Source organism: Homo sapiens, chromosome 7, assembly GCF_000001405.40.
Source record: "Homo sapiens chromosome 7, GRCh38.p14 Primary Assembly".
NCBI classification, from domain to species: domain Eukaryota; kingdom Metazoa; phylum Chordata; class Mammalia; order Primates; family Hominidae; genus Homo; species Homo sapiens.
The window spans coordinates 34,937,331-34,963,848 of NC_000007.14; the positions used below are offsets into that span (position 1 = coordinate 34,937,331).

Here is a 26,518-nt window from a genome sequence, read left to right on the forward strand (position 1 = left end):
TCGACAGGACATGGTGTAGCACAGAGACCCAGTAAGGATAATGTGACCCCTGGTGCTCAGCTGCCTGACTTCACCAAAAGAGACTCCCCATTACTTGGTTTCAGACCCTGGAAGTCTTTTGAAAGAAAATACATCCAACTTTAAATAAAAGTTTCTTTTAAAACATCAAAGGCAAATATGAACAATTTGGGAGATTATCAACTAGTGCCAATAAAATCTCTTTAAGGTAGTATACACATACAAATCATTATTTAAAAAAAAAAGATATTTATAAAGACTATAAAAGAAAGTCTCCAAATCATTATCTAAAAAGTTTTTTCAGGCCAGGCGTGGTGACTCACGCCTGTACTCCCAGCACTTTGGGAGGCCAAGGCAGGAGTAGCACTTGAGGCCAGGAGTTTGAGACCAGCCTGGTCAACACAGCAAAACCCCATCTCCACTAAAAATACAAAAATTAAGTGGAGCTTGCAGTGAGCCCAGATCATGCCAGTGCACTCCAGCCTGGGCAACAGAGTGAGAGCCTGTTTAAAAAAAAAAGAAGAAGTTTTTCCATGTATACTTTATGTTATATACACACCCCCGCCACCAGCAAAGCATGTGCCATGTGCTTGAATTAACCTTCATGTCTTATGATTATAAAATGTTAACTGTGTTGATACTCACTTGGATCTTCTTACACACCATGACTCTTCTAGAATGTAATAGTTCACTTTTAACTTTATCAGTTCTCGCTTCACTTCTTCGGCTGCTTTCCGACTATACATTGAGTATACTATTTTTGTTCTGGCTCTTTAAAGAAAAATAATTGGGCATAAAATTTTCAAGACTAAAACGATACAATAACACATTTGGAAGAAAGCACTGAATTAGACTAGAAGACGATGAAGAAGAATCCAGTCAGGAGGAAATTCCCCATGGAAGTTCCCGCTAAGGGGCATCAGTGAGGTCAAAAGCAGAAGGCAGGAGGAGGACAAGTTGTGGAGAAGAGGGTGACCTTTAACACACCCCTACATTCCCAAACTTGGTCTCTTTGTGTTTGTTCACTTATTTATTTGTCTTAAATTCTTCACTTCGCTATCACATGTAAGAGTAAGGTACCCTGTGTGTGAACAGGGATGAACTACAACAAACACAACTATAGGACTACTGTGAAGCTGCAACAGTCCCAACTTAGACATCAACAATAATTCACATTAAATGGTTCTTCATTTTATTTCTAGATTTAAGAAAAACTAAACTTATTTAACAAAATTGGTCTGGAAATTAGCTTGATGAGATTGATTTTTTAATGAAAAAGCTTATTTGTGAATGTACATGCCATTGTTATGAAAAAGAAGATGCTAATAAGATTCACCTAATCACTTAGAAAATGAATAGCTTCACCTGCCTTAGAAACTGCAAGAAAAATTAAATTTTTAAAAAAAAATTTGGACAACACATCTCTAAATTATTTTTTAAAGTCTCAAAAAAATCTAAAAAAACATAAAACACCCAAGATCATTCTAACAGGCTATACTGGTGAAAACCAGAATAAACTCCTCTTTGAATGGGATTCTATTTCAAATGACTTCTCCAAACTCAAGAAAAATCACCTATGAGAAAACCTTAATAAACACTCTAAGCTAAACTCCCCAGGGAGTTACAGGATGAAAAGGACTTGGACATTTTAGAGCCCTGTTAACCTGTGGGAAAGTGCTATAGTATGACTTCGTTTATATGCCTGGTAGAGAAGAGAGCCCCCAAAGTTGTCACTTTCCTGCCCTGTGAAGCTTTAACGGATTTGTTTAGAGCTTAGCGGTCTTATTTCAGCTTTCTGCTCCCTGACTCGATAAGCCTCAGTTCATCATATCCTTTTGAAACATTCCTTATTACTTTGCTGGTGTCCTCCACTCACTGTCTGTTTGCATGGGAGGTTTGTTTTGATGATGCAAGACTGTGCACTGACCTCAAGCCTGCGTCTTCATAATGTGGATGATTCACAATGGGCCGAAGTGCAGAGAGCTTAACACTTGCCATCGTGGGCATGGCACCCGCAAACACTGCATCTGGAAGGCAAGAGGAATGTCTCAGGAAGACACTCAGTGAAGGCGAGAAGGTGTCTCCTTCAAGTGTAAATCAATTATTTCACAGGTAACAGAGCGGAAGCCCAGCAGGTTCATGACTTCAAGATTCAATGGCAGAACTAGCATGAAGTCAGATGGCTGATAAAGTAGCAGTTGGCAGCCAGGCCTGGGTAAACTATTTTCCTTGGAAAACAGAGCTTCATCATCTCATCATTAAAGATTTCTTTCTTTCTTTAAAGAAAAAATCTTAGAAATCTTTCCTGAATCTAAAAAAGAAGTATCAAATGGACTAGGAAAGCTTTACAGTAACAAGGAGTTCTGGAAGATGATTTAGTATTCAATCATTTGATACTCAGATGACAACAAAGTCTCCCTTTCCACACATGAATAAAATGTCACATTCCATGAGTTTATTTCAAGAAGGAATGTGAAGGACTAATATTAAAAATTCATTAAGAAAATAAGCACAGGAAAAATTATTTTAAATGTGGCATTTATGACTGTGAATAAATTTTGAAAAAATTAAAATCTATAAAAAATGGCAGAATAAATTACTAAGAACATATGTATAACATTTCCCCTGCAAACCATTTAAACAGGATTGATATCTCCTTTGTTTTAGATATTCTAAAAGCAACATTGCATAGAAAGAGTGAGATCAGTGGAAGTAACTAGGGTTTAAGAGTTTGCAGTGGTATATAAAATTGTGGGAAAAACAGCTAAATAATATGACTTTTTTTTTCTTTTTTTTTTTTTTACCTGGTTTAGTACTATATTTGATCCATTCTATAAGTTCTTCTTGGGGCAAATTGCTGAACTCCCCTACAATATTCCACTGGGTTTGCAGATTTGCTGAACCTTGTATTGACATTGCTGCTAATATAGCAAACACAATAGCACCAGGATGTACTTTGCAAAAGAGCCATCCAAATAGCTGAAACCAAATTAAGAATACATTGGTAATTGTTAGTATAAGTAGTATGCATCTGTTATGCAAAACTTCTTCCCAGAGAAGAATAAGGCCTCTGCTAGAGTCCCAAATAAAGGATTAATTATCCTAAAGAAAAAGCCCCAAAATAATAATCTTTGGGATCAAAAGGATTCTACCATCAGCCTCATATAAGTGGAACACAATGTAGGAAGCTCTTTTCTCAACCTGCTTTCACTACTCCCAGATTCAAGTAAAGCCACAACCAATTTACAAGGCCCAGTACAAAACAAAAATGTGGGGTCTCTTGTTAAAAAATTAAGACGTTCAAAACAGCAGCAGCAAACATTCAATCAAGTTCAGGGTCCTGAATGTGAGGTCCTGTGTGACCAGCAGGAACCCCACACTTGGAAAACCTGCCCTGGGTGACACTTTCTATTAGGTTGGTGCAAAAGTAATTGCGGGTTTTGCTATTTTTAACGACAAAATCCACAATTACTTTTGCACCAACCTATATCATCAGTCATGCTGTGGGATAAGACTCAAGATTAAAGGCTTCCAACCAGCCTCCTTTCCTGTGCCAGCCTGAAGGGGTCAGAAAGGTAGAAAGTAGTGCCTTTCTAACATAATACAACATACTGATTGGGAACCTCAAGGCTGGCTAATTTTTTCCACATCCAAATAGTCCACACTCCATAACAACACTTTGTTCTCTTGATCTTTCTCCACATGTCTACAGAGCTAGATTTCAAGTTTCTTGAGGGCTTATAAACACTGGCTTTTGACTTTTCTGTCTACTACTCTCTCCTCCATCCCTAGAGTGCGCAGTGTAGGTGCTTAGTGACTATCTGCTACGTCTAAGGGAGGTGCTGCTGTTGTACCTAGGCTGGTTGACTGATGGAAAGGTGACACTATGGAGAAGCATAAATCTGTGAATACAGAACAAGGAGGCAGCTATCCAGGAAAAATAAGCAGCAAACCACCAAGGAAGGCTTAAACTAAATTTTAAAAAGCACAAGTCAAGAATGTGCACACAAATTGCACCAACTGAAAAAAAAATAAGTTTGATACTAAAAAAAGAACATATAATTTTCAAGCACTTATAACCTGAAATTATTAGATTTCTTTGTGATATGAATGTCAAAACAAAAAAAGTTATTATTTGTACAATTAAGCTCTGCTTTCTATCAGCACCTGCAGTAATCACTCATGAACTCAGTCTGTACTAAATCGGTATTAGTTGTACACCAACAACTATTTTAAATCTTTAGAAAGATAGAAAATGATCAGCTTTGGCCCTTACCCTTTAAGAAAGATAAGTACAAAACCATGAAGAGCTTTAACTATAATCACTTAAAAGACTTTGTAATTCATTATTTTAGGGCCACTCAATAATAAAGGCTAAAATTATCATAGTAGCTATACTCCAACATAACATGTTACCTGTCTTGAGCAGATCAGTGATGCCATAACACACATGTGTGGTGTCAAGAAGAGTTTTAGTCTCATAATTAAAATACCAAGGGCTGTATATGCTAACAATTGCAATGCATGGTAAACCAGCTGAAAGAAAGAAGAAAATGTTTTTTACTCCTACTGTTTGTGAAGTTTAAGAATACTAAACTGGCAATATGCAGAAAGGGGTACGTTCTCCTTAGTAACAAAAAATACTACTAAGGTTTCTGAAACTTCGAAAACAATTCTTAAAATTCACTTTCAAACTGTTCCATTTTAGTGGAAGGCTAAAATTATAAAGTCATTAAGGCAAGTGTTTCTGTGATTCTCAGAGTCAAACCTGTGGTTAATAAAGCCCACATTTTTTAATCAACCTTGATGCTACCATCAGACCAAGAAAAGACAGTGGTAAAAGAAATGACTGCTGCCTCAAGATCTGAGGGCTCCACCTTGGAACTGCCCTCAAAACCAGACTGGACAACTAGGAGATGGGAGCAGTAACCAATCACATCTCTGAGGCCTCAAGCAAGGTGAGCAGAGAGGAAAGTGATTTCCAATCATGCAATAGACACCTCATACATATGTCTAAATGGGCTCCAGAAATCAACTGCCATTAGTGTAAAGATGATCAGAGCAGAACATATGAGTTTCCTAGTTAATTTTAACAAATGAATAGTCAGTGAATCTGCATATAGCATTCTCATAAAAACACATAACAGGCTATTTTCAAGATGATTGCTGACAATTGCCAACAAAGTTAGAAACTGGAACTAGAAAGGAAAGTCCAAATGCATGCAACTTTAAGATAAGTAAAATTATAGTCATATTAAGTCTTTACCTCTCCATGATCAAACTGGTGTTTTCTGGAACAGAAAAAAATATATTGCCATCAATTCATTATTGAAGCACTTACGTCATATATTTGCATTTTCATCTTGCAAACAGGAGTTTTACAACTTCTATAACATTCTCTCAGGACACACACAGGCAAATCAAAATAACTAAAAGTCACATGCCAAAACTGGTGCTATACTATTTTAAGAAAATTTATGAAGAATGACAATGTTGTATTATATCCTATTTGACTACATGGGTATTTATTAGGACAACAAAGGCACACGGTGGTGTCCCAGCTCCCTCACTGGTGATACCCCAGCAAAGCATGGAATGAAAAAAACCTTTGAGATTTTCACTAGGCAACCAAGTAGAGATAACAAATACGTGGTTATATGTGTAAATCTGAGTTCAAGGGAGAAGTCTGGGTCAGAGACAGAAATGTGTGAGTTGACAACACACACCTTCTCTTTCTTAAGCACTGATATGTTCCCAAGACCTAGAGTAATACCTGACACTTAGAGCTCAACATTTTTAATGAATGAACAAGTGTATCAATAAACTGTTAATCCAGGTAGCATATAATCTAATTTGAGAATCTAGCCTCAAAAAGACTGATATATTAGCAAACTCAGGACACATAAGGGGCTAGTGAAGGAGATGAAACAGTTCTTTATTCTTCTTTCACACCAAGTAAAAACTATCAGTTACCATTTGTTGAGTACTTACAATGTTAATATGCTTAGTACATTCCATTAACTCTAATCCTACAACCATTTATTACCCCAATTTACAGCCAAGGAAAGGAATCACAGAGCTAGTAAGTGGCAGCCAGGACTATATTCTGACTGACTTCAGAGCCAATATACTTTTTACTACATCATGCTGTCTCTATCCCACTTTACTTCCTGGGTCTTTGAGTAAAGAGAATATTGGCATTCATGTCTTTGATAGTTAAAATTTATGTCCTACTCTTCTCCTTTTTACACTGGCTTTGGTAGCTATGCAAAATAAAATGTCAACATGCCACTCCTCTTCCAAAAAAGAGCTCTGATCCTATTTGAACTGACAACTCCATGAAGCTCAATGGTTTCCTATAATTACTTCTATAGGTGAGTTATTACTCTTGAAGGGACAGCTTTGTTTCTGTGAGAAGTTCCACCTTCCTCTTCCAGAGTTGCATACTACAGCTGAAACTTTGTAGCTTCTTCCTGAGCTCTTCAAAAATAATTTCACCTCAAATGAAAAATTTCGGCATTGTAAACCAGAACGTTTTTCTTTCCCCCTTAGCCCTCAACTCAAATGTTACAGGTATAAACATATACCTGTATATGTTACAGTAAATTGTTTCTAAATGAGAACAAGGATTCTCTCAGGAGTATGTGCAATAATTTATCATTATGTTGGCAGAGACTTGGAGGTGAGGGAATAATACAAGGGTGTGTATATTCAAATTATAAAATAAAATATAGGGCCAGGCGCAGTGGCTCATGCCTATAATCCCAGCACTTTGGGAGGCTAAGGCAGGCAGATCACGAGTTCATGAGTTCAAGACCAGCCTGGCCAATATGGTGAAACCCCGTCTCTACTAAAAATACAAAAATTAGCTGGGCGTGGTGGTGGTCGCCTGTAGTCTTAGCTATTCAGGAGGCTGAGGCAGACGAATCGCCTGAACCCGGGAGGCGGAGGTTGCAGTGAGCCGAGATCGTGCCACTGCACTCCTCCAGCCTGGGTGACAGAGTGAGGCTCTGTCTCAAAAAAAAAAAAAAAAAAAGAAAAATTAAAAAAAAGAAAATATAGATACATACACATTCGACAATCCTTCTCCCCCCAAAATCCCACAAAAGAATAAAAGTAGAGTTAAAACTACCTTCACTCCATCCTCTAATCCCACTCTTAATAATTACAGGATTTATCTTTCCGGATCATTTCTATGCACAAACACATAAAAATCTCTAAATTTTAAAGAGAAGTATAATTATCCTATACACACACACACTGGCAATTTTAAAAATTCAATAATGTATACTGGACCTATTTCCAGAAAGATAGCCTAACATTCCACTCTATGTATCATAGTAGATATTTTGGATGTTTCCATTTCTCACATAACACACAATACTACAAAAGGCATCTCTCCCCATCATCTCTGTATTTCTGTGAGCATCTCTAGAGGGTACACTTGCACTGGTGGAACCTGCAGGGCTAAAGGACAGGCCCACTATATGTTTTACTGTGTATTGCCAAACTTCCCTCCCATCTACTACCTCCCACTCTTGCAAGCATTGGATATACTATTAATTTTTAGAAATATAAGAAGTGAAAAGGTCTTCACTTTAACCTGAATGGCTTTACCATAGGATCAAGACTACCTTTTCATGTTCATTAGTCATATGTAAATACTCATTCAACTACTATCCTTTACTATCTTGCAGGCACTGTATATAAACTGTTGAACAAAAATGATCGCTCCCTTCAGGAGATACGGGTCACACATCAACATTTAAGTACAAAGGGTGACAAATGGTAAGAGAGTAAGACAAAGGGTGTGATGGTGGAAAATACCAAGCATGCTATAGGCCTCTCTAACTCTCAGGTTATAAACAAACCCTCTTGGTTAATTTTGGGTTTTTTTTTTCCTATACATAATTCTCTGGTTCATCTGAAATTTATTTTCTGTAAAAAGTGAGGTATGAATCCAGTTTTATATTTCCCTGCTCATTTCCAAAAAGGCAGTCCACTGGTCCTAAAACCACTCACGTAATAATTTACTTTCCCTGCTGAAATGAAGTACAAAACTGTGTCCTTTGAGTGTAGATTATGTGCAGGGCTACTGTCAGACTGTACTGGATAACATCTGAAGGATGAATAAGTGATGTGCTGTGTTCTGCACAGATAGGAAATAAGAAGAAATGCCAGGAAGGGAAATGACCACAATAAAAACATCAATTATCAAATATTAGGTACACAACATGTAAGTATACAATTAATACACTGTAAATATCTATTTAATAAATGAACAGAGGAGGTAATAAAATTCTTAATAGCATATTTACCTTACATGTGTCTGTTGTTTAGCTAAGACACCCCACATATCACTAATAATCTGTAAATAGATTTTGAAACACTTTAGAAAAGCTGTGTTGGGAAAAATGATATTTTAAATAAAGTATCTTCTAAACTGTAAAATAACTTTTAATGAAAATATAAGTATAGAGATAACTCAGAAAATAATAATCACAACAACATAATCTTATATTTGTATAGTATCTGATCAAAGCTAATATTCAACAACCCTGTTGGGTAGATTATATCATCCTCGTTTTGTAAATGAGCAACAGGTTCATATGGATTAAATGATTGCCCTGTAGGTAGACAACTACTAAGAAGCACTGCAGTCTTGAAACCAGATCTTCTGGCTTCAAATTCACATTCAGCGCTGCTTCCACCATGCCAACGTTGTTGGCAACACCTCTTCTTAACAGTGCACTCAGAAAACTGGAGAGCTGGCTCAGAGGTTGATAATCACAGCTGGAAGCATTCAAAACACAGTCACTGTGCTTTCATATTCAGCAATAATGAGGAGGTCATCTAATCTAAAATCGTATCTCCAGTACAAATATTCTCTACAACACTGATGACAGGCTGTAATCCAGCCCTTAGAATCCACCAGCTGCTGCTTGAATCTATAACACTTTCCTTATCAGTCGAGATCAGTTCTGGTCAAAAGTCATACCTCCTGGAATTGGCCATGATTCTAAGGAGCCAGATTGTGTGTAACCTTATTTTCAAGGCACAGGCTTTTACCATATTTCAAAGTAATTATCCGCTTTCCATCTACATCTTTTCTTCTTTAAACGAAACAGCCTAGCTAATAGTTTTCATCATCTCTCACCACTCAGGTTGCTGTCTTTTGCATATGTTCTGGATGGCCAATGCTTAGTATTTTTTGAGTACCCACTAGGTGCAAACCCACATAAACTATACAAAAGTGCAAAGCACACACAAAGCCTAGCACACAGCAGGAACTGACTCTTAACTGATTAGAGATTAAAAGTGCTGTCGGAGTACACAGCTGAATACCAGACATAGCCCAACGATAGGGGAAGGTGCAGAGCCCGAGTCTCACTCTTCCCTTGCTTTTAAGTGGACATGATGCGAGGCTCCTAACAACATCTTTGATCTTTCAGTTCTGTATGTTAAAATGGAGATAACATTTGTCTACCCCATAGGGCTGTTGAATAACCAATTTAAATACTCATGTGAAAATGTTCTATACAAAGCAGAGTACAAATATATAATATGAACAATTGTTATAATACAGAATATTCTACAAATAAATGACATTGTGTTAACACAGAAATCACTGGCCACGTATCAGGAAACTTTTAAGGTCTGTCGTCTCTTTTTCCATCACAGATTAACTTCTGTTCATTCTCTTAAGACACATTTGGTTACAGAGTGCACAATTCTTAAAGAAAAAAAGAGAGGGAATATCACACTTGCTTTGATCTTATTTATATCTGGGCTTTGAATTTTATCGTCAAAGCCAACTTGGGGACCTAAACATTTTATCTAGTTCATCAACACATTGCAAATACTCTGTTTTTTCTTTCTGATTAATAATAAACACAATCCAGGAGTTATTGCACACTGCACAAATCACTTAGGTATATTTTAAATATTTTAGGGAAATATTACATTAAAGGTAAAAGCCAGTAATAATTTACACAGGCAAGTTGTATCTGGGTCAATATGGTCTCTGATCATGCCTTCCAAAATACATGACTATCGGAACTTGAGCCATCCTTTTCTGATGTCTGTTTTATGCTAGCAGATAGAATATTTTGAAGCTATATAAATGTCTATCAAAAGCTATCATTAAGAAAACATAGAATATGTTACAGTAAGCCCATACAAAACGTTGTATCAGATAAATGTGGCCAAGTATATGCGACTACTATGTAAAAACAAGAAAATATTCTATTATAAGAAAGAGCTCTTAAGTGATAGACATACCTTTCTAACAATAGCAACAAACACTACAAGAACAACTGGAAGCAATAATGTCTTTGTGTATCTCAGTGGAGTCTGAAATTCAAAGAGATGTTTTGTTAGAAGGAAACATTTTAACCAAACAAAATTTCATTTCAAATAATGAAATAGGTAAATTTCTGAAAGTAGAGAAATATGAACATTCACCAATCTACTCACTGACTGCCATCATAAAAAGGAAGGTGCATTTCCATAGAAATGAACTTCCCCAAAATGCTGAGTTGAAACACTAAAAATACAGTACCCAAACACCTGTAAGTGTGAAATGTCACTGAAGAGATTACTGCTCACTTTTTGCATGCTACTTATCTAACTAGAGAGACCAACTTAATATTCATCTAAGGTATGTAAAGCTCCTTAAATGGAATAAGCTTTTCCTGTATATTTTGTGGGGGATAAAAATATTATCCTTGAAACACACACACACACACTTTCTCACGCATAAACAAAATAATGATCTATGTTTGAGGGGAACAAAAGGCTTTTACATTTTCTTTAGTAGCAGAAAAAAAATAGAAATAAGTTTAATAACAAAGCCCTACACATTGTGAGCCTGTGCACCTCTCAATTATCTCTCCACCCAAAAAACCACTGTTAAAATTTTGCTTTTATACTTTTTTTACTTTTATGTGTGTTAATTATGGGTTAATAAGACTATATCATTTTGTTTACTCCCTTATATATCTTAAGCATCTTTCCATGTCAGTATGATATCATATTAGGAAATACCATGTTAAATTTTCCCCTCTTCTCCACTGTATAGGTGTACCATAATTGGAACATATGTTCCCTGAACTGACAGTACTCTGTCTCTACAGCACAGTCCCTATGAATTAAGATACTTACAGTGATGAGGAATGGTATGCTGGAAACAGTTTTGCTATTTTCTTCAAATTAGCTGAAGTCATGCTATGTCTCAATAAATTATTTCTTTCATCACATAGCTTATGTTTAATACTCTCAGACTGTAGCAGTATGTATGATGTTCTCAATAACATTAAACAACTTCACCACATCCTAATTCTCTAATATTTGAAGGAGTCTTGAACCCCTATGAACATGCATTTCAATGTCTTGCAAGATATGCTTCCTTTGTTTGTTTCAGCAGGTTTAACACTAAAACTCATATACCTTTGTCAGCCACTGTGTGTCAAAACCATTTGCCGGAACACAATAAATGAAGACTGACAGGCCACTGGAGTAAACAGTACCTCTGCAGAACACACTCAACTCCAAATGGCCGGTAGATAAAAGTTTCCTGTGTGGTGCCCTCTCATCCACTGGTCTGGAACTCTGGACACTGGGCTAACACAGTGGGATCATGAGGGAAACTAACATGTCAATAGAGTATTGTTGGCCAGTTTCATATACATACACATACCACTCTGAAGGAGTGACACAGATAATATAATTAATCAGTACCACATGGATGGTGTTAAAAATGCACATATATACATGCTTGTCGAACTAAACCAGCTCATAAAGTATTGCAAATTAATATTTTATTTATTTAAATATTTACTTATTTAAAATATCAAAGTACTTTCCTTTGTATTATCTCATTTTGTCTTCACAATATCTGTTTATGGCATGCTACTAGAAACTAGTAAACTATAACACGACGAATGAGAGTTGCTTGTTCAAGAACATCAAGCAAAATTACAGGCTTCTGTCTCACAATCCACTAAACTACTCTCTGCTTTCCTTCTAAATCTCTGAATACAGTTTTAGAAAGAAAAATGCTGTTGGAATGAAAAGCTTGGACTTGATGTTTCAAAGCAAATATCTATTTAAATAACCACAAAATGAGTGGAAATGTAAGAGTTTGAGAGCTTGACTAAATTAATGCTATCACTGAAAAATGGCAACTTGAAATGCCTCTGTGTTTACTCACCTAGAAAACCACTGCTAGTCTGAATGTGTATTTCTAAATTATCAAAATGAGTAAAGGCCATATATTTCAGGGAGCTGCACTAAAGTAAACAGAAAAATCTTCCTCTAAGCTGCCAGATTTTCCTTTTCCTTCAAACTGAGATAACAGCACATAAAGAGTCTGATATAAGAGGAGCACTCCTTATGAAAAATGTATGGGCCAAAACCTTAGGAAACAGAACTAGAAATCACATCTTACCTCTTTTTCCATAAAGTCAAACTCCGCTGCACAGGTATACAATAAAGTATCAAAATCCTTATAACTAAAGAATTTTGATGTTAGTAAGTTGCCAATATGAGCCTGGTAAGAAATAAAGTTACCATTATATTAAGCCATACACTGCAATAATATATTTTAATTTCAATAGTATCTGAAAATAGTTTTCATTACATTATAGAGCCCACTGTTCCCACACCAAGCCTGCTTTTGTTAAAGAAGGAAATGCTATATCCTCCACCTTCACAGTTCCCTTCTTTTGCTGAATAGTGATAGCTCCAATGACACCCTACCTTCCACACTCATCGACATCCCAAAGGCTTTTTCCCTTGGGTTTTCCCAGCTTACTGTGCTAAACCTGGTGAAACAGGCCGCACAGCATCTCCCTTGCTGGAGCCTACCAGCAGCTCTGGGCTTGGGAACACACACAGACTTCTTTTAATCATAAAAGCACAAAGGACTATGGGGTAAAGAAAAAGAAATACGAATTCTGAAAAGGAGATTGAAAAGAGTACTTGAGTGAAGTAGAAATGGGCAGGTACTGGAATAAAAGGTACTTCTTGACTGATAATCACCTCTCATATAATTATTCACATGTTATCAAGGATTCTCACTCACACTGCCACATTTACCTCCCACAAAAAGCCATGTGAGGAAGGTGGATTTTCACTTTATAAATAAGAAAACTAGGGCACAAAGACATAAAACATTTGCCAAATGTTCAAGTTCATTATAGTCTAAAAAAGCAACAACCAAAGAAAAGAGGAGAAATTATATCTAGGACAAACCATGACTAAAATTCTATATGATATCTACATGAAGCAGAAGGAACAGGGTAAGAGTAGGAACTAGATGGTGGCAGGTATGTGATGAAGCATTTCAAAATACTATGTCTTGTTGGGAGAAGAAATGTATGCTGATAAGCATAAGAAATCAATAGGAAGAATATACAGCACCTAAAATAGCATAAGAAAACAAATCCCAAACAAAATGAAAGAAATAAGTCCTAGTATTATGACAATTACCATATATGTAAAGAGCATAAATTCACTAATTAAGGGACAGATGCTTAAATTGGACTTAAGGGAAAAAATCTAATATTATATTGTCACCAAAAGAAATACTTAAAAGTATGCTGAAAGGTTGAAAACAGAAGAATGGAAGAAGATATACCAGGTAAGTTTAAAACAAAGAAATCTGTTAGCAATTATAATGTCTCACAAAACTGAATTTAAGCAAAAAATATATGAAAAGAGACAATAAATATTATATGCTAGTAAAATTAACAAAAAAGCAAGATTATACATATTGCCAACATATCTGCAGTTAAAAATATGGATTCAAAGTACACAGAATAAGAACTGACAAAAACTAAAGGAAGAAATAGAAAAGTTGACAGTGTTCATTGCAAATGTTAAACACTGCCTCCTTGAATAAAAAAGCTGACAAAAGTTAACATAAAAGGTGAATACAATCAATTAGCTCACAAACAGAAAATATAAACTTCACAAAGAGAATACACATTATCCTTGAACACAAGTGAAATATTTTTGAATATTCACATACCATGTAACAATAAATTCCAAAAATATGTATATATTTGATTATAAATGCAATACAACTAGAAAATACCTAGAAATTGCTTTAAAAATTCTTGATTAGAAGTTAAATATCATAAAACTTAACCTTTTAAAAAATCACAAATAGACAATCTATAAGATACATAAAAGAGTACTACATACTTACAAAGAAAATTTTAGCTTTAAAAGCATTGATCAGAAAATAAGAGAGGTAAAAACAACAGAGCTAAGTATTTCCCTTGGGCATCAGAAGACAGGAAACAAAAAGAAGTAAGAATAAGAATGAGGACAGGAATTGGTGACAAAGAGAAACACAATAAAACCAAAGAGGACTAAAAAAAGATATAACTTTAAAAATATTAAAACAATAGACCTCTAGAGCAAATCTAATGAAGGAAATAAATGATGCAAACAAAAAGCAAAATGAAAAAGGGAGAAATAACTATGGACTCAACATAGTAAGAAGAATAGGCTACACAATTTGCTAATAAATTGTAAAACCTAGGTAAAATGGATACATTTCTGGAAAATCATAAAACACCAACACTGGCACAAAAAGAAATAGAAAACTTGAATAGAACAAAAAGCATTCAAATATCTGAAATAGAAATCAAGTATTTTCCCTCCCAAAAAGCCCTAGACTGAGATGGTTAACATTGAATTACTAAACTTTCAAAAAAAAAAAAAAACTTTCCTAAGTTGCCAGAAAGTAGGAAAAATAAAAAAAAAGACCACAAAAAAAAAACCCACAACAGCTCTTAATAGAAGACCAATATTAATTCCAAATCCAAATAAGGAGAAGTCAACCAAAGAACAAAAAGATCACTTCCCAAATATGCATATACACAAAAATTCCAATAAGAATTTTAACTGACTAAATTTAAAAAGCATTATCCATTTGATGACATATATAAAATGGGAAAAATTCCTCTAAGAACATAAAACTACCAAAGTTCACTCCAGATGAACTGGAGAGCTTCCTAATGAAATTGAATTTGTAGTAAAAAACCTACCCATAAAGAAAGCTCCAGGCCATGAGGGCTTCACTGTTAAATTCTACCAAACATTTAAGGAAGAGATAATACCAATTCTACATAAAAATCTTTCTGAAAACAGGAGACAGGACACTTGCAAATAATTTTAGGAGATGACATTACCCTGAAACCAAAACCAGACAAAATCATTACAAGAAAACTACAACAAATATTCCTCATGAGTAATAGACGAAAAACACCTTAAAAATATTAGCCAACCAAATCCAACAATATAGAAAAGAAATACTACATTTGAGCAGGTGAGGTTTATCCCAGGATACAAACTAGATCAACACTCATATATCAAAAAAATGTGTCAACTTCCAAATACGGCAGAGTGAAGAAACTGGTAACTCCCATTCTCCAAAACCACTTTAAAATTGGACAAAATTATAAAAAAAACACTCATATCAGGTTCTAGAGATTAACCAAAAGGAAGCAACAATGTGGGAAGCATTCATTCATAAAAAACTGAGAAACTGTGGGTAAAAACAGTGGGAGTCTGTGGCATTTTTACCTAGGTTGCTCCCATCCACCTCAGCACCACCCCCATCTCCCCCATACTGTTAGTCCAACAGTTCTTTTGAAGGGGGCAGGACCGAGTGTGGCTACTCATAAAAAGAACCTGTACTACTGGAACAGGCTGACCTGATTTGGGGCGGACAGCTAAAAACCTACGCTCAGAGGCACTATCAGTAAAAGTAGAGAACTCAGTAGGAAATAAAAGGCTGGGTAGCCTTGCCACTATCTTCCTTTAACCAATGTCAAAATTAAGAATTTATGAGCCAATGCCCTTAATCAACGTTACGTATTTCTAAAAATACTAAAGTTACAACTAAGTTATTTCTAATTTGCAAATAACATAGTTTATAGCATCTTTTTTGGCCCTGCATAATTTTAGGCTATGACAGAAAATGACAATAATAGCTTTAACCTGAATTAATACCTTAACTGGTTCATGTTCCCCCAGTGAGTAAAACAGATTCTATAAACGCAGGACTAGGGTTATTTCACTTGTCTTCCTGATCACGCTCTGCATATTGGCTGACTTACCCACCTTTCAGCTCTCATCCTCAGAGCTGACTTCCAGGATCCTTCCCTGATGCTCCTCCTGTGTATTCCTGCAGCACTCTGTACGTCATTTTTTATCATAGCCTTTATTACACTGTATTGTAACTGCTAGGAATTGTTCCTATTTTCCGAATTTTCCGCTAGACCATACCTTACTCAGTTTGGTATCTCTAGCATACTTTCCACTGTCAGGCACACAGGAGGTACTGAATGAATGAATGAATGAATAAATACATTTTCAACTATAGTTTTATAGTTTTAAAAATCTTTCCACAGATTGTAGACCAACCATTTAATGGTCCATGTGTTTTCAATCTTTTAAGCAAAAATAACCCTTGTTCTTATGAAAACCTGTATGAAAGAGATTGAGGTTAAACTGCCCTGGGTAAAAGAGAGGCTAGGAGACAGGGGAGTAGACAGCCCTCAGGGAAGATTCCTGGGAAGTCCTAGGACTTCACATAACCCAGTTTCAAAACCATAGCATTAATCTAGTACAGAAAGAAGAAAATCACCAATAAAAATACACTATAGGAAAAAAATAGTTTATTTTTTCCATGTTGGTTCTTGTGCTGCTTTTTTAAATTAAATCTTTGATAGCCTCCTGACTTAGGATGTGCTGATTAAAACACCAAAATAAAATAGGCAAAGCAATTATGGACAGAGAGAATCTTTAAAATTATAAGACAGACTTCTCCATTTTATCTTCCCTTCTACCCTAATACCAAAAATAAACAAAAATCTTCTCTAAATAAGACTCACTTGGATTACATTATCTATAAAGGCTTATAAAAGCCTTTTACAAGTAATGACTTGAAAACTGGAGAGAAAAAAGAATGAGACTATAATACGATCTCCAATTAAGGCTCTAAAGATGGTGTCTTTACCAGTTACAAAGAAGCTAGAGAAAAATGACTGTATAGAGCTTAAAATTCGATCTTTAATCTATTATCTACAGTTTTCCTGCGTTAAAATTTTAGTGACATAGAAGGACCAATAAAAAAAGAGATTAAGAAACTAATTTTGGAGAACGAAAATCTATATACAATTACATTTACTTTCTATTATATTAAATAAAATAATAGGTGAACAGACTTCATCCTAGAATTTCATTTAATAGTGATACTTGAATAACTCAATTTATTCTTAGCCTATTCGATTCTTTTCAAGTCTTTCAAATTTAAGTAAAAAATGCACTTACGTCATCTGCAATACCAAAAATTTTAGATGTCAAGTATTTAAGTATGACAGTTCCAAATAACCAAAAACATCCTTGAATAACCTAAACAAAAGAAAACAAAAATAACTTTGATGCTTCATATTCCACAGACATAGGCTAGGAAGAAAAAAATAAATGCTTTAATCATACATGAAATACATATTACTATCTACAAGAGAAAATGCTAGAAAATGCATCTCAATTTAAAATCAAGCATGTTGCTCAAAATCAAGGGACAGTAACTAAAAATAAAAATATAATCATACAATCTTATCAAAATTAATATATTTTATAGAAGATTTACACAACCACTGCAGTTAAATTCCCTTTAACAGTTTCTTATACATGCACTGTTTCTCAGATGAAACATGAGTAATAAATAAAACTGGAATTTTTAAACTACATACCCAGGATTAACTTTAACTTGTTTCATAAAAAGGGCAATTTGGTACATTAAAACTGAGCCCTAAAATACTATAAAACTGTTGGATCCCCTGAGTTGCATAGATCATTTTCTTAAAAGTAAAACATAAAACCAATGATATATTTTAGAGAAGAAAAAACATAAGCATTAAAATAGATTGATTCTCACCCATAAACTAAGTTCAGATACATTTATTTTCAGGAAATGTGGTTTCATTGCCAGAATACCCTGAGTAGAGAAAAATAACATAGTATACACAGTTAATACTTATAGACATAAATTCAAGTACCAAAAAATTCTTCTAAATAATAAGATTCTCAAGTATCTAAAATTTAGCACATGGTTGACTTTCCACATACCATCCACATGCTCATTTCTAGAGTCAGTGACTTCAAGGTATAGCCCTATTATCCAAAGTCAATTAGGTGAATGCGTGACTTTTTAAAGTTGAAAAAGGAATCACCATATGTAAATGTCTATGACTGATTTGACATATCTGATTTATCTCTGAGCCATGAGGTATATAACATTTTCAGAATTTTGGACAGTAGTCATACAGGCATAAGATTTTCCTTTAGCTAAAAATTACTGACTCTTAGGGTAAACAGCAAATGAAATGTTAATGGATCAACTAAATACTTCTCTGAAGTATTTTCAGGTGGTAATGCTTCCAAACTGTATTACCCTTGGGGAGCTAAAACTACTTCAAACATGGCAAAAATATGATTAGAGATCAAAACATAAATACTTCAAACCAAATTAAATCTTTTTGGAAGTTTCTAAATACCTGAGAATACAAAATGTGATACAATTCAGGTTTCAAAGTGAAATTATAAATATATGCAAATGTGTGTTTATAGTTAAATATGCACAAACATGCTGTATTCCCTGTTATCATTTATTTTTATACACCAAAATATATGGAATATACATAAATATGCTTAATTCGTACCTAAGGCACACCTCAGTGTGAAGCATCTAGCAGCATACCTGACATATAGAACTGAAAAGAAATTTCCTACAAAATGTACTTAAATTAGATTTTATTTGTATGTAATATTCGATTCAATGGTTTCCCTGTCCATAGTACCAAGATTCATATACTTTATCCTGGGTGATAGCAGTACATGAGAAAATACATATGTAAAATATACAACTGAGTACTTTGTCACCTTTCCTAATAATAAACAGAGAACACAGAACTGAAGAACTATACTTATTAATCCCAAAGTTATGATTTTTCTTGTTGTTGTTGTTGAAAATATAGCATCATGCTAATTGCTAATTTCTGTAGCTAAGTATACTCAAGGCACAACCTGAAAAGGGTGGCGGCCCACACTGGGAAGAGGCATATTTTTGAGAAATGGGTATTTTTTTTTTTTTTTGAAATGGAGTCTCGCTCTGTTGCCCATGCTGGAGTGTAGTGGCGCGATCTCAGCTCACTGCAAGCTCCGCCTCCTGGGTTCATGCCATTCTGCCTCAGCCTCCTGAGTAGCTGGGACTACAGGCGCCCGCCACCATGCCCGGCTAATTTTTTGTATTTTCAGTAGAGATGGGATTTCACCTTGTTAGCCAGGATGGTCTCGATCTCCTGACCTCGTGATCCACCTGCCTCAGCCTCCCAAAGTGCTGGGATTAGAGGCGTGAGCCACTGCGCCTGGCCGAAAAATGGGTTTTTAAATAAATATCATTTGTAAAATAAATGAAAATGGAGGTTTCAAATGTAATGGGTTCTAGAAATTAAGAAACCCCAAATGATCTGAGTAACTTAATTACTCAAGAAGTCGAATATATTCCAATTACGACAGTGCAATACGCTTTTAAAGTCACAGGGAAACTAAAGCACATGTACTTTAAACATAAGGAATAACAAGTCTGCAAAACATTTTAATGGAAATCCACCAAAAATAAGGCAGTCTTAAAATTTCAGAAGACTTTTAGACTTACAAAGTCATCCTGCCAGCCGGGCATGGTGGCTCACGCCTGTAATCCCAGCACTTTGGGAGGCCGAGGTGGGCAGATCACCTGAGGTCAGGAGTTAGAGACCAGCCTGACCAACATGGAGAAACCCCGTCTCTACTAAAAATACAAAACTAGCCGGGCATGGTGGCACATGCCTGTAATCGCAGCTACTTGGAAGGCTGAGGCAGGAGAAACGCTTGAACCTGGGAGGCGGAGTGAGCCAAGATTGCGCCATTGCACTCCAGCGTAGGCAACAAGAGTGAAACTCCACCTTAAAAAAACAAAACAAAACAAACAAACAAAAAAACAAAGTCATCCTGCCATATGTAGCAGAAAGAATTAGATGACCTTCCATCAATTTGTTCTAATTCTGTAAAATAATCTCTCCATAATCTAAAGTTGTTCTTGGTAGTGATTTAGCAAAATAAAACTGAATCATCACCTTACTTAAACCATCTGAATAGTCCATACAAGTAGACAAGGGGCAAAAAACAAAACAAGAAAAACAAAACAAAACAAAAAACAGAAGAAAAAGTAACCAAGGCCTTGATCTTCTGAGCACAGTGGAATGAAGAGGGGTGGCTGTTACAAGATTGCAATGAGAGGAAAGGGGTTCAAAAAGTGGAGCAGGAGTAGGATTAAAAATGCAAAGGAGGAAGGGAGAAGAAAGCATAGAAACTTTTCTGAAATGATACTAATTTTTCCTTGTTTTTTTTTTCCCTGTTTTAGAATTGAGTACTTGAACACCATACATCTAGAATATTCAGTAAGACACTTAAGATGGTTCCTACAGAAAACCCTGATGAATCCTAAGCCAGTGAAGAAAAAATTGTTAAACCATTAGTTTCAAAAACAGCCATATAAGTGTTAAGGAATACTTACCCAAATAATTACCAAAGAAGAAGCATAATAAGAAGTTAATAACATTGAGTTCCCAAACATCAAAACAAAACAAAGTGCAAGAGAAATCTGGAAAAATCCAAGAAAAAAATATAAGTAATGCACATAAAACAAAAAACCTTTGTTTTTTATTGTGAAAACTGCACATGCCCATAATAAACAAAATTCAAACTGTTGAAAAGGGACTATAAAACAGCCCATTCTCCATCTCACACTTCAAACTCCCAGAGATAACCATCATCAACAGTTTCCTGTTTATCCTTCCAGACAACATGTATAAATTCTAGTTTATATATTTTGTAAAACCACAAATGGACACTTACCCCACAAGCTGTACTATTTCTTGCTTTTATTCGTAATATGTTTCAGAGAGCTTTCCATACACATGCAAGCCAATCTAATACATTCTGCTTAAGAACTGGTAAAAGTATTCTATTCTATAGATGTATCCTAATTTATTTAACTAGTCCTCCGAATACTGCGAAACACTTAAGTGCTTTCCACTTCTATTTTGTTTTGTTTGGATCTTCCCAATACAAACACTGCTATGATAGACATCCTTATGTGTATACCTTATGTGCATGTCAGTACATTTATGAATAAATTACTAGAAGTGAAATTGATGGATCAAGGATATACACATTTTTAAATTCAATACAAATATTGACAAATTGGCCTACAAAAAGATTGTGGCAATTCACTTTCCCACCAACTGGGCAGGAGAGTTCCTATGGATATATATTCTGGCAACACTGTATTATTCTTTTAAATATTTGCCAATCCAGTAGGGAAAAAATGTTACCTCATTGTTTCACTTTTCCATTCTTTTAATAGTAGATGAGACACAGCACCTTTTATTCTATTTGCTGGTTATGTTGTCTTGTGTGTATGTGTGAACTGCTTATTCCCACTGCCCATCTGTCTACTGGGATTTCATTATTTTCCTTAACAGCTCTCTTCATATATTACAGAACATAGCCCCAATATCCAGAATCTACAAAGAACTTAAACAAATTTACAAGAAAAAAAAAACCATCAAAAAGTGGGTGAAGGATATGAACAGACACTTCTCAAAAGAAGACATTTATGCAGCCAACAAACATATGAAAAAAAAGCTCATCATAATTGGTCATCAGAGAAATGCAAATCAAAACCACAATGAGATAACATCTCATGCCAGTTAGAATGGCGATCATTAAAAAGTCAGGAGACAAAGATGCTGTAGATGATGTGGAGAAATAGGAACGCTTTTACAGTGCTGGTGGGAGTATAAATTAGTTCAACTATTGTGGAAGATAGTGTGACAATTCCTCAAGGATCTAGAACTAGAAATACCATTTGACCCAGCAATCCCATTGCTGGGTACATACTCAAAGGATTATAAATCATTCTACTATAAAGACACATGCACACATATGTTTATTGCAGCACTGTTCACAATAGCAAAGACTTGGAACAAACCCAAATGCCTGTCAATGATAGTCTGGATAAAGAAAATGTGGCACATATACACCATGGAATACTATGCAGCTATAAAAAAGGATGAGTTCATGTCCTTTGCAGGGACATAGATGAAGCTGGAAGCCATAACTGTCAGCAAACTAACACAGGAACAGAAAACCAAACACTGCATGTCCTCACTCATAACTGTCAGTTGAACAATGAGAACACATGGACACAGGGAGGGGAACATCACACATCAGGGACTGTTGGGGGCTGGGGGGCTAGGGGAGGGATAGCATTAGGAGAAATACCTAATGTAGATGACGGGTTGATGGGTGCAGCAAACCACCATGACACGTGTATACCTATGTAACAAAACTCCACTTGCTGCACATATACTCCAGAACTTAAAGTATATATATATATTTTAATATATATGTTTATTTGTATATAAATATATATATATATATATATATATATTTATATATATATATATATATATAAAAGAACCTAGCCCCTTATCAAGTAAACATATTGTAAATATTTTTCTCAGTTCATTTTTGACCTCTGTAGTATTTTTTGTATTATGGTTATTTTCTAAATCTTTATGTTAGCAAATTTATCTTTCATTTCCTTTAGGTCTTTGGATTTATCTGTCATTTAAAAGGCACTAAAAATAAAATAATCCATATTCTAGAAGTTTTATTTTTGATCCATATATATCAATTTCCATGTGAATTTCAGAATCAACTTATTAAGCTTCAAAAACTAAAATTTTAATTAAAATTACTTTATTCAATAACGTGTTATTTATAGTTATATCTGTTCAACATCAAATCTTCAGATCCCAAAGCAATACATGTTCCTTCCATTTCTTTAAATCTTCTTTTACATGCATTAGCAAGTATAGTTTTCTTTGTATAGATTCCTGCATATTTTCTTGAGTTTATTCTAAAGCATATTATTTTTGCTGCTGTTTTATCAAGAATCTTCATATTTTGATTGTTTGTATACAGAAAAATTATATTAAATATGCATCAATGAATATGATTTCATTGTTTCCAGTAGTAGTTTATTTGGATTTCTCAAGTATTCAAAATGATATCAACTACAAACAATGATATTTTTACATTTTCCTTTGAATTATTTTTCAGTCAATTGTATTAGCTGACATTTCTGCAATAATGTTAAGTAATGAGAGAGGCAGTAGGCATATTTACCATGCTTCTGGCATTAATGGAAATAGGAAATTGTTCTATGGCTTCATCATTTTATGTGATACTAGTTTTTCTTTTGAGGTGTGGGTATCTTAAATTTCAATGAAATATCCGTCTATTTTTACTTGATTATGGTCTTAAACACCAAAAATAGATGTTGACTTTTATCATATACCTTTATAATATCAAAGGCAATTATTATGGATTTTTTAAACTTCCTAATGTGATAAATCATATTAATAGAATTTCTATTATCAACACATTCCTGCATTCCTGGAATGAGGCACTTAGATACAAATTTAACTACGTAAAAAACCTATCTGAGCAAAACTACAAAACTTCAATGAAACTAATCAAAGAACTTTATAAATACATGAAGTGTTATTCCATGTACAGGAAGATTCCATATTGAAGGGATGTCAGTTCTTCCCAACTTGATTCAGCACAATCCCAATAATGAGCCTAGCAAGTTACCAATAAAGTGATTCTGAAGTTTATATGGAGATATAAACAACCCAGTATAGAGCCAACTCAATACCAAAGAAGAGCAAAGTCAGAGGACTGACACTACCCCACTTCAAGACTTGCTATAAAGTTACTGTAATCAAGACAGTGTGATATTGGTGAAAGAAGACACAAACAGATCAAGGGAACAAAATACAGAGCCCAGAAATAGACTCACATATATAGTCAACTGATATTTGACCAAGGAGCAAAGGCAATACTGTGGAGCAAAAATAGTCCTTTCCACAAACGGTGCTGGAACAACTAGAGATCCACATACAAAAAAATAAATCTAGACATAAGACTTTACACCCTTCATGAAAACTAACTCAAAACAGACAACAGATCTAAATGCACACTGCAAAACTATAAAGCTCCTAGAAGATAACATTGGAGGAAACCTAGATGACCTTAGGTATGGTGATGACTTCTTAGATAAAAGAACAAAGGTACAATTTATGAAAGAAACAATTGATAAGCTGAACTTCATTAAAATTAAAAACTTCTGCTCTGTGAAAGACAGGACAATGATTGAGAGAAGATATCTGCAAAAGACACATCTGATAAGGGACTGTTATCAAAAATATACAAAGAATTCTTAAAACTCGACAATAAGGAAATGAACAACCCAAGGAAAAATAAGCAAAAGATCTTAATAGACACTTCACCAAAAAAGATACACAGATGGCAAAAAAAAGTATATTAAAAGATGTTCAACCAAATTAAAACAATGAGATACCATTACACATCTACTGGATGCCCAAAATCCACAGTGACACCACCAAATGCTGACAAGGATGTGGAGCAGCAGGAACTCTCATTTATTGCTGGTGGTAATGCAAAATGGTATGGCCACTTTGGAAGACAGTTTGGCAATTTCCTAAAAACTAAGCATACTCTCACCATACCATCCAAATATCACTTTCCTTGGTATTTACTCAAATGAACTGAAACATCCATGTAAAAACCTGCATACAGATGTTTACGGCAGCTTTATTCATAATTGCCCAAACTTGGAGTTAACCAACAAGTTATTCAATAGGCAAATAAATAAACAGTGGTACATCCATATAATGTTAATAAAATGTTAATAATAATCAAGATCTAAATGAGCTATCAAGCCATGAAAAGACTTGGAGGAAACTTATTTGCTTTTTACTAAGTGAAAGAAGCCAATACGAAAAGGCTACATACTGTATGGTTCCAAACACATGACACTATACAAAAGGCAAAACTATGGAAACAGTAAAAAGATCAGCGGCTGCCATGGGTTAGGGGGAAGGAGGGATGAATAGGTGGAGCACAGAAGAGCTTTATGGCTGTGAAACTGTTCTACAAGATACTACATGGTTGACACATGTCATTATACATTTGTCAAAATCCAGGCCGATTGTGGTGGCTCACATCTGCAATCCTAGCACTTTGGGAGGCCAAGGCAGAAGGATCCCTTGAGCCCAGGAGGTCAAGGCTGTGGTGAGCCATATTTGCACCACTGAACTCCAGCCTGGGCAACAGAGCAAGATCCTGTATCAAAAAAACAAAACAAAACACAACAACCACCCGTAGAAAAGTGAGGCCTAACGTAAACTACGGACTTTGGGTGATTCTGATGTGTGATGTAGGTTTATCAATTGTAACAAATGTACCACTCTGGTGCGGGATGTCAATAGAGGGGTAGGTTGTGCATGGTTGGGGGCAGGGGGTATATGGGAACTTTGTATTTTCTGCTTAATTTTGCTATAAACCTGGCTGGGTGCAGTGGCTCATGCCTGTAATCCCAGCACTTTGGGAGGCTGAGGTGGGCAGATCACATGAGATCAGGAGTTCAAGACCAGCCTGGCCAACATGGTGAACCCTCATCTCTATTAAAAATACAAAAATTAGCTGAGTGTGGTGGCACATGCCTCTAATCCCAGCTGCTCGGAAGGCTGAGGCAGGAGAATCGCTTGAACCCGGGAGGCGGAGGTTGCAGTGAGCCGAGATCGTGCCACTGCACTCCAGCCTGGGCGACAGAGCGAGATCTGTCTCAAAAAAAAAAAAAAAAAAAAAAAAATTTGCTATAAACCTAAAACTTCTCTGAAAAATAAAGATTTTTAATTAAGAAACAAAAACCACGGTGAGATATCACCTTATACCTATTAGGATGGCTACCATCCAAGAGCAGAAAATAAATGTTGGTGATTACATGGAGAAAATAGAACCTCGTGCACTGTTTACAGGAATGTAAAATGTACCGCTACTATGGAAAAGTTTGGCAGTTCCTTAAAAAATAGATTTACCATATGATCAATCCAGCAATTCCACTTCTGGGTACATACTGAAAACAACTGAAAACAAGATCTCAAAAAATATTTGTTTACCCATGTTCATAGCAGCATTATTTCCTATAGCTGAAACACAGAAGTAACCCAAGTATCCGTGAATGAACTGGATAAGCAAAATCGTGTGTGTGTGTGTGTGCGTGTGTGCACACGTGTGTACACACAATGGAATCCAAGTATCCATGGACAGATTGAATGGATAAGCAGAATCGTGTGTGTGTGTGCGTGTGTGTGTGTGTCTGTGTACACACCATGGACTATTATTTAGCTTTAAAAAGGAAGGAAATTCTGACATGCTTCAACATAGAAGTAACTTGGGACAGTAGGCTAATTGAAATAGGCCAGTCACAAAAAGACAAATA

The 26,518-nt window shown here is 35.3% G+C and overlaps 1 protein-coding gene, 1 long non-coding RNA gene and 1 other non-coding gene across 5 annotated transcripts in view; 1 reads left to right on the top strand and 2 right to left on the bottom strand.

Moving 5' to 3' along the window:
- DPY19L1 (dpy-19 like C-mannosyltransferase 1) overlaps positions 1 to 26,518 on the bottom strand; it is a 109,161-nt gene that overhangs the window by 8,450 nt on the left and 74,193 nt on the right. For 2 of the 3 annotated variants that reach the window (NM_015283.2, NM_001366673.1), the window contains exons 11-21: positions 20,654 to 20,740; positions 17,978 to 18,037; positions 17,368 to 17,448; positions 12,467 to 12,568; positions 10,300 to 10,371; positions 8,337 to 8,386; positions 5,285 to 5,309; positions 4,435 to 4,554; positions 2,823 to 2,997; positions 1,946 to 2,045; positions 664 to 789 (exon numbers count right to left, since the gene is read on the bottom strand). In NM_015283.2, coding sequence (NP_056098.1) covers positions 664 to 789; positions 1,946 to 2,045; positions 2,823 to 2,997; positions 4,435 to 4,554; positions 5,285 to 5,309; positions 8,337 to 8,386; positions 10,300 to 10,371; positions 12,467 to 12,568; positions 17,368 to 17,448; positions 17,978 to 18,037; positions 20,654 to 20,740 — 998 coding nt within the window. The remainder of the gene's footprint in view (positions 1 to 663; positions 790 to 1,945; positions 2,046 to 2,822; positions 2,998 to 4,434; positions 4,555 to 5,284; positions 5,310 to 8,336; positions 8,387 to 10,299; positions 10,372 to 12,466; positions 12,569 to 17,367; positions 17,449 to 17,977; positions 18,038 to 20,653; positions 20,741 to 26,518) is intronic. The other variant, XM_011515246.4, reaches the window with a different exon arrangement.
- Positions 3,430 to 3,504, bottom strand: MIR548N (microRNA 548n). The gene has a single exon (NR_031666.1). It is a non-coding gene; the product is annotated as a microRNA 548n (primary transcript).
- On the top strand, positions 4,896 to 11,278 carry LOC102724723 (uncharacterized). Its single transcript, XR_001745166.2, has 3 exons — positions 4,896 to 4,976; positions 7,716 to 7,806; positions 11,099 to 11,278. It is a non-coding gene; the product is annotated as an uncharacterized LOC102724723 (long non-coding RNA).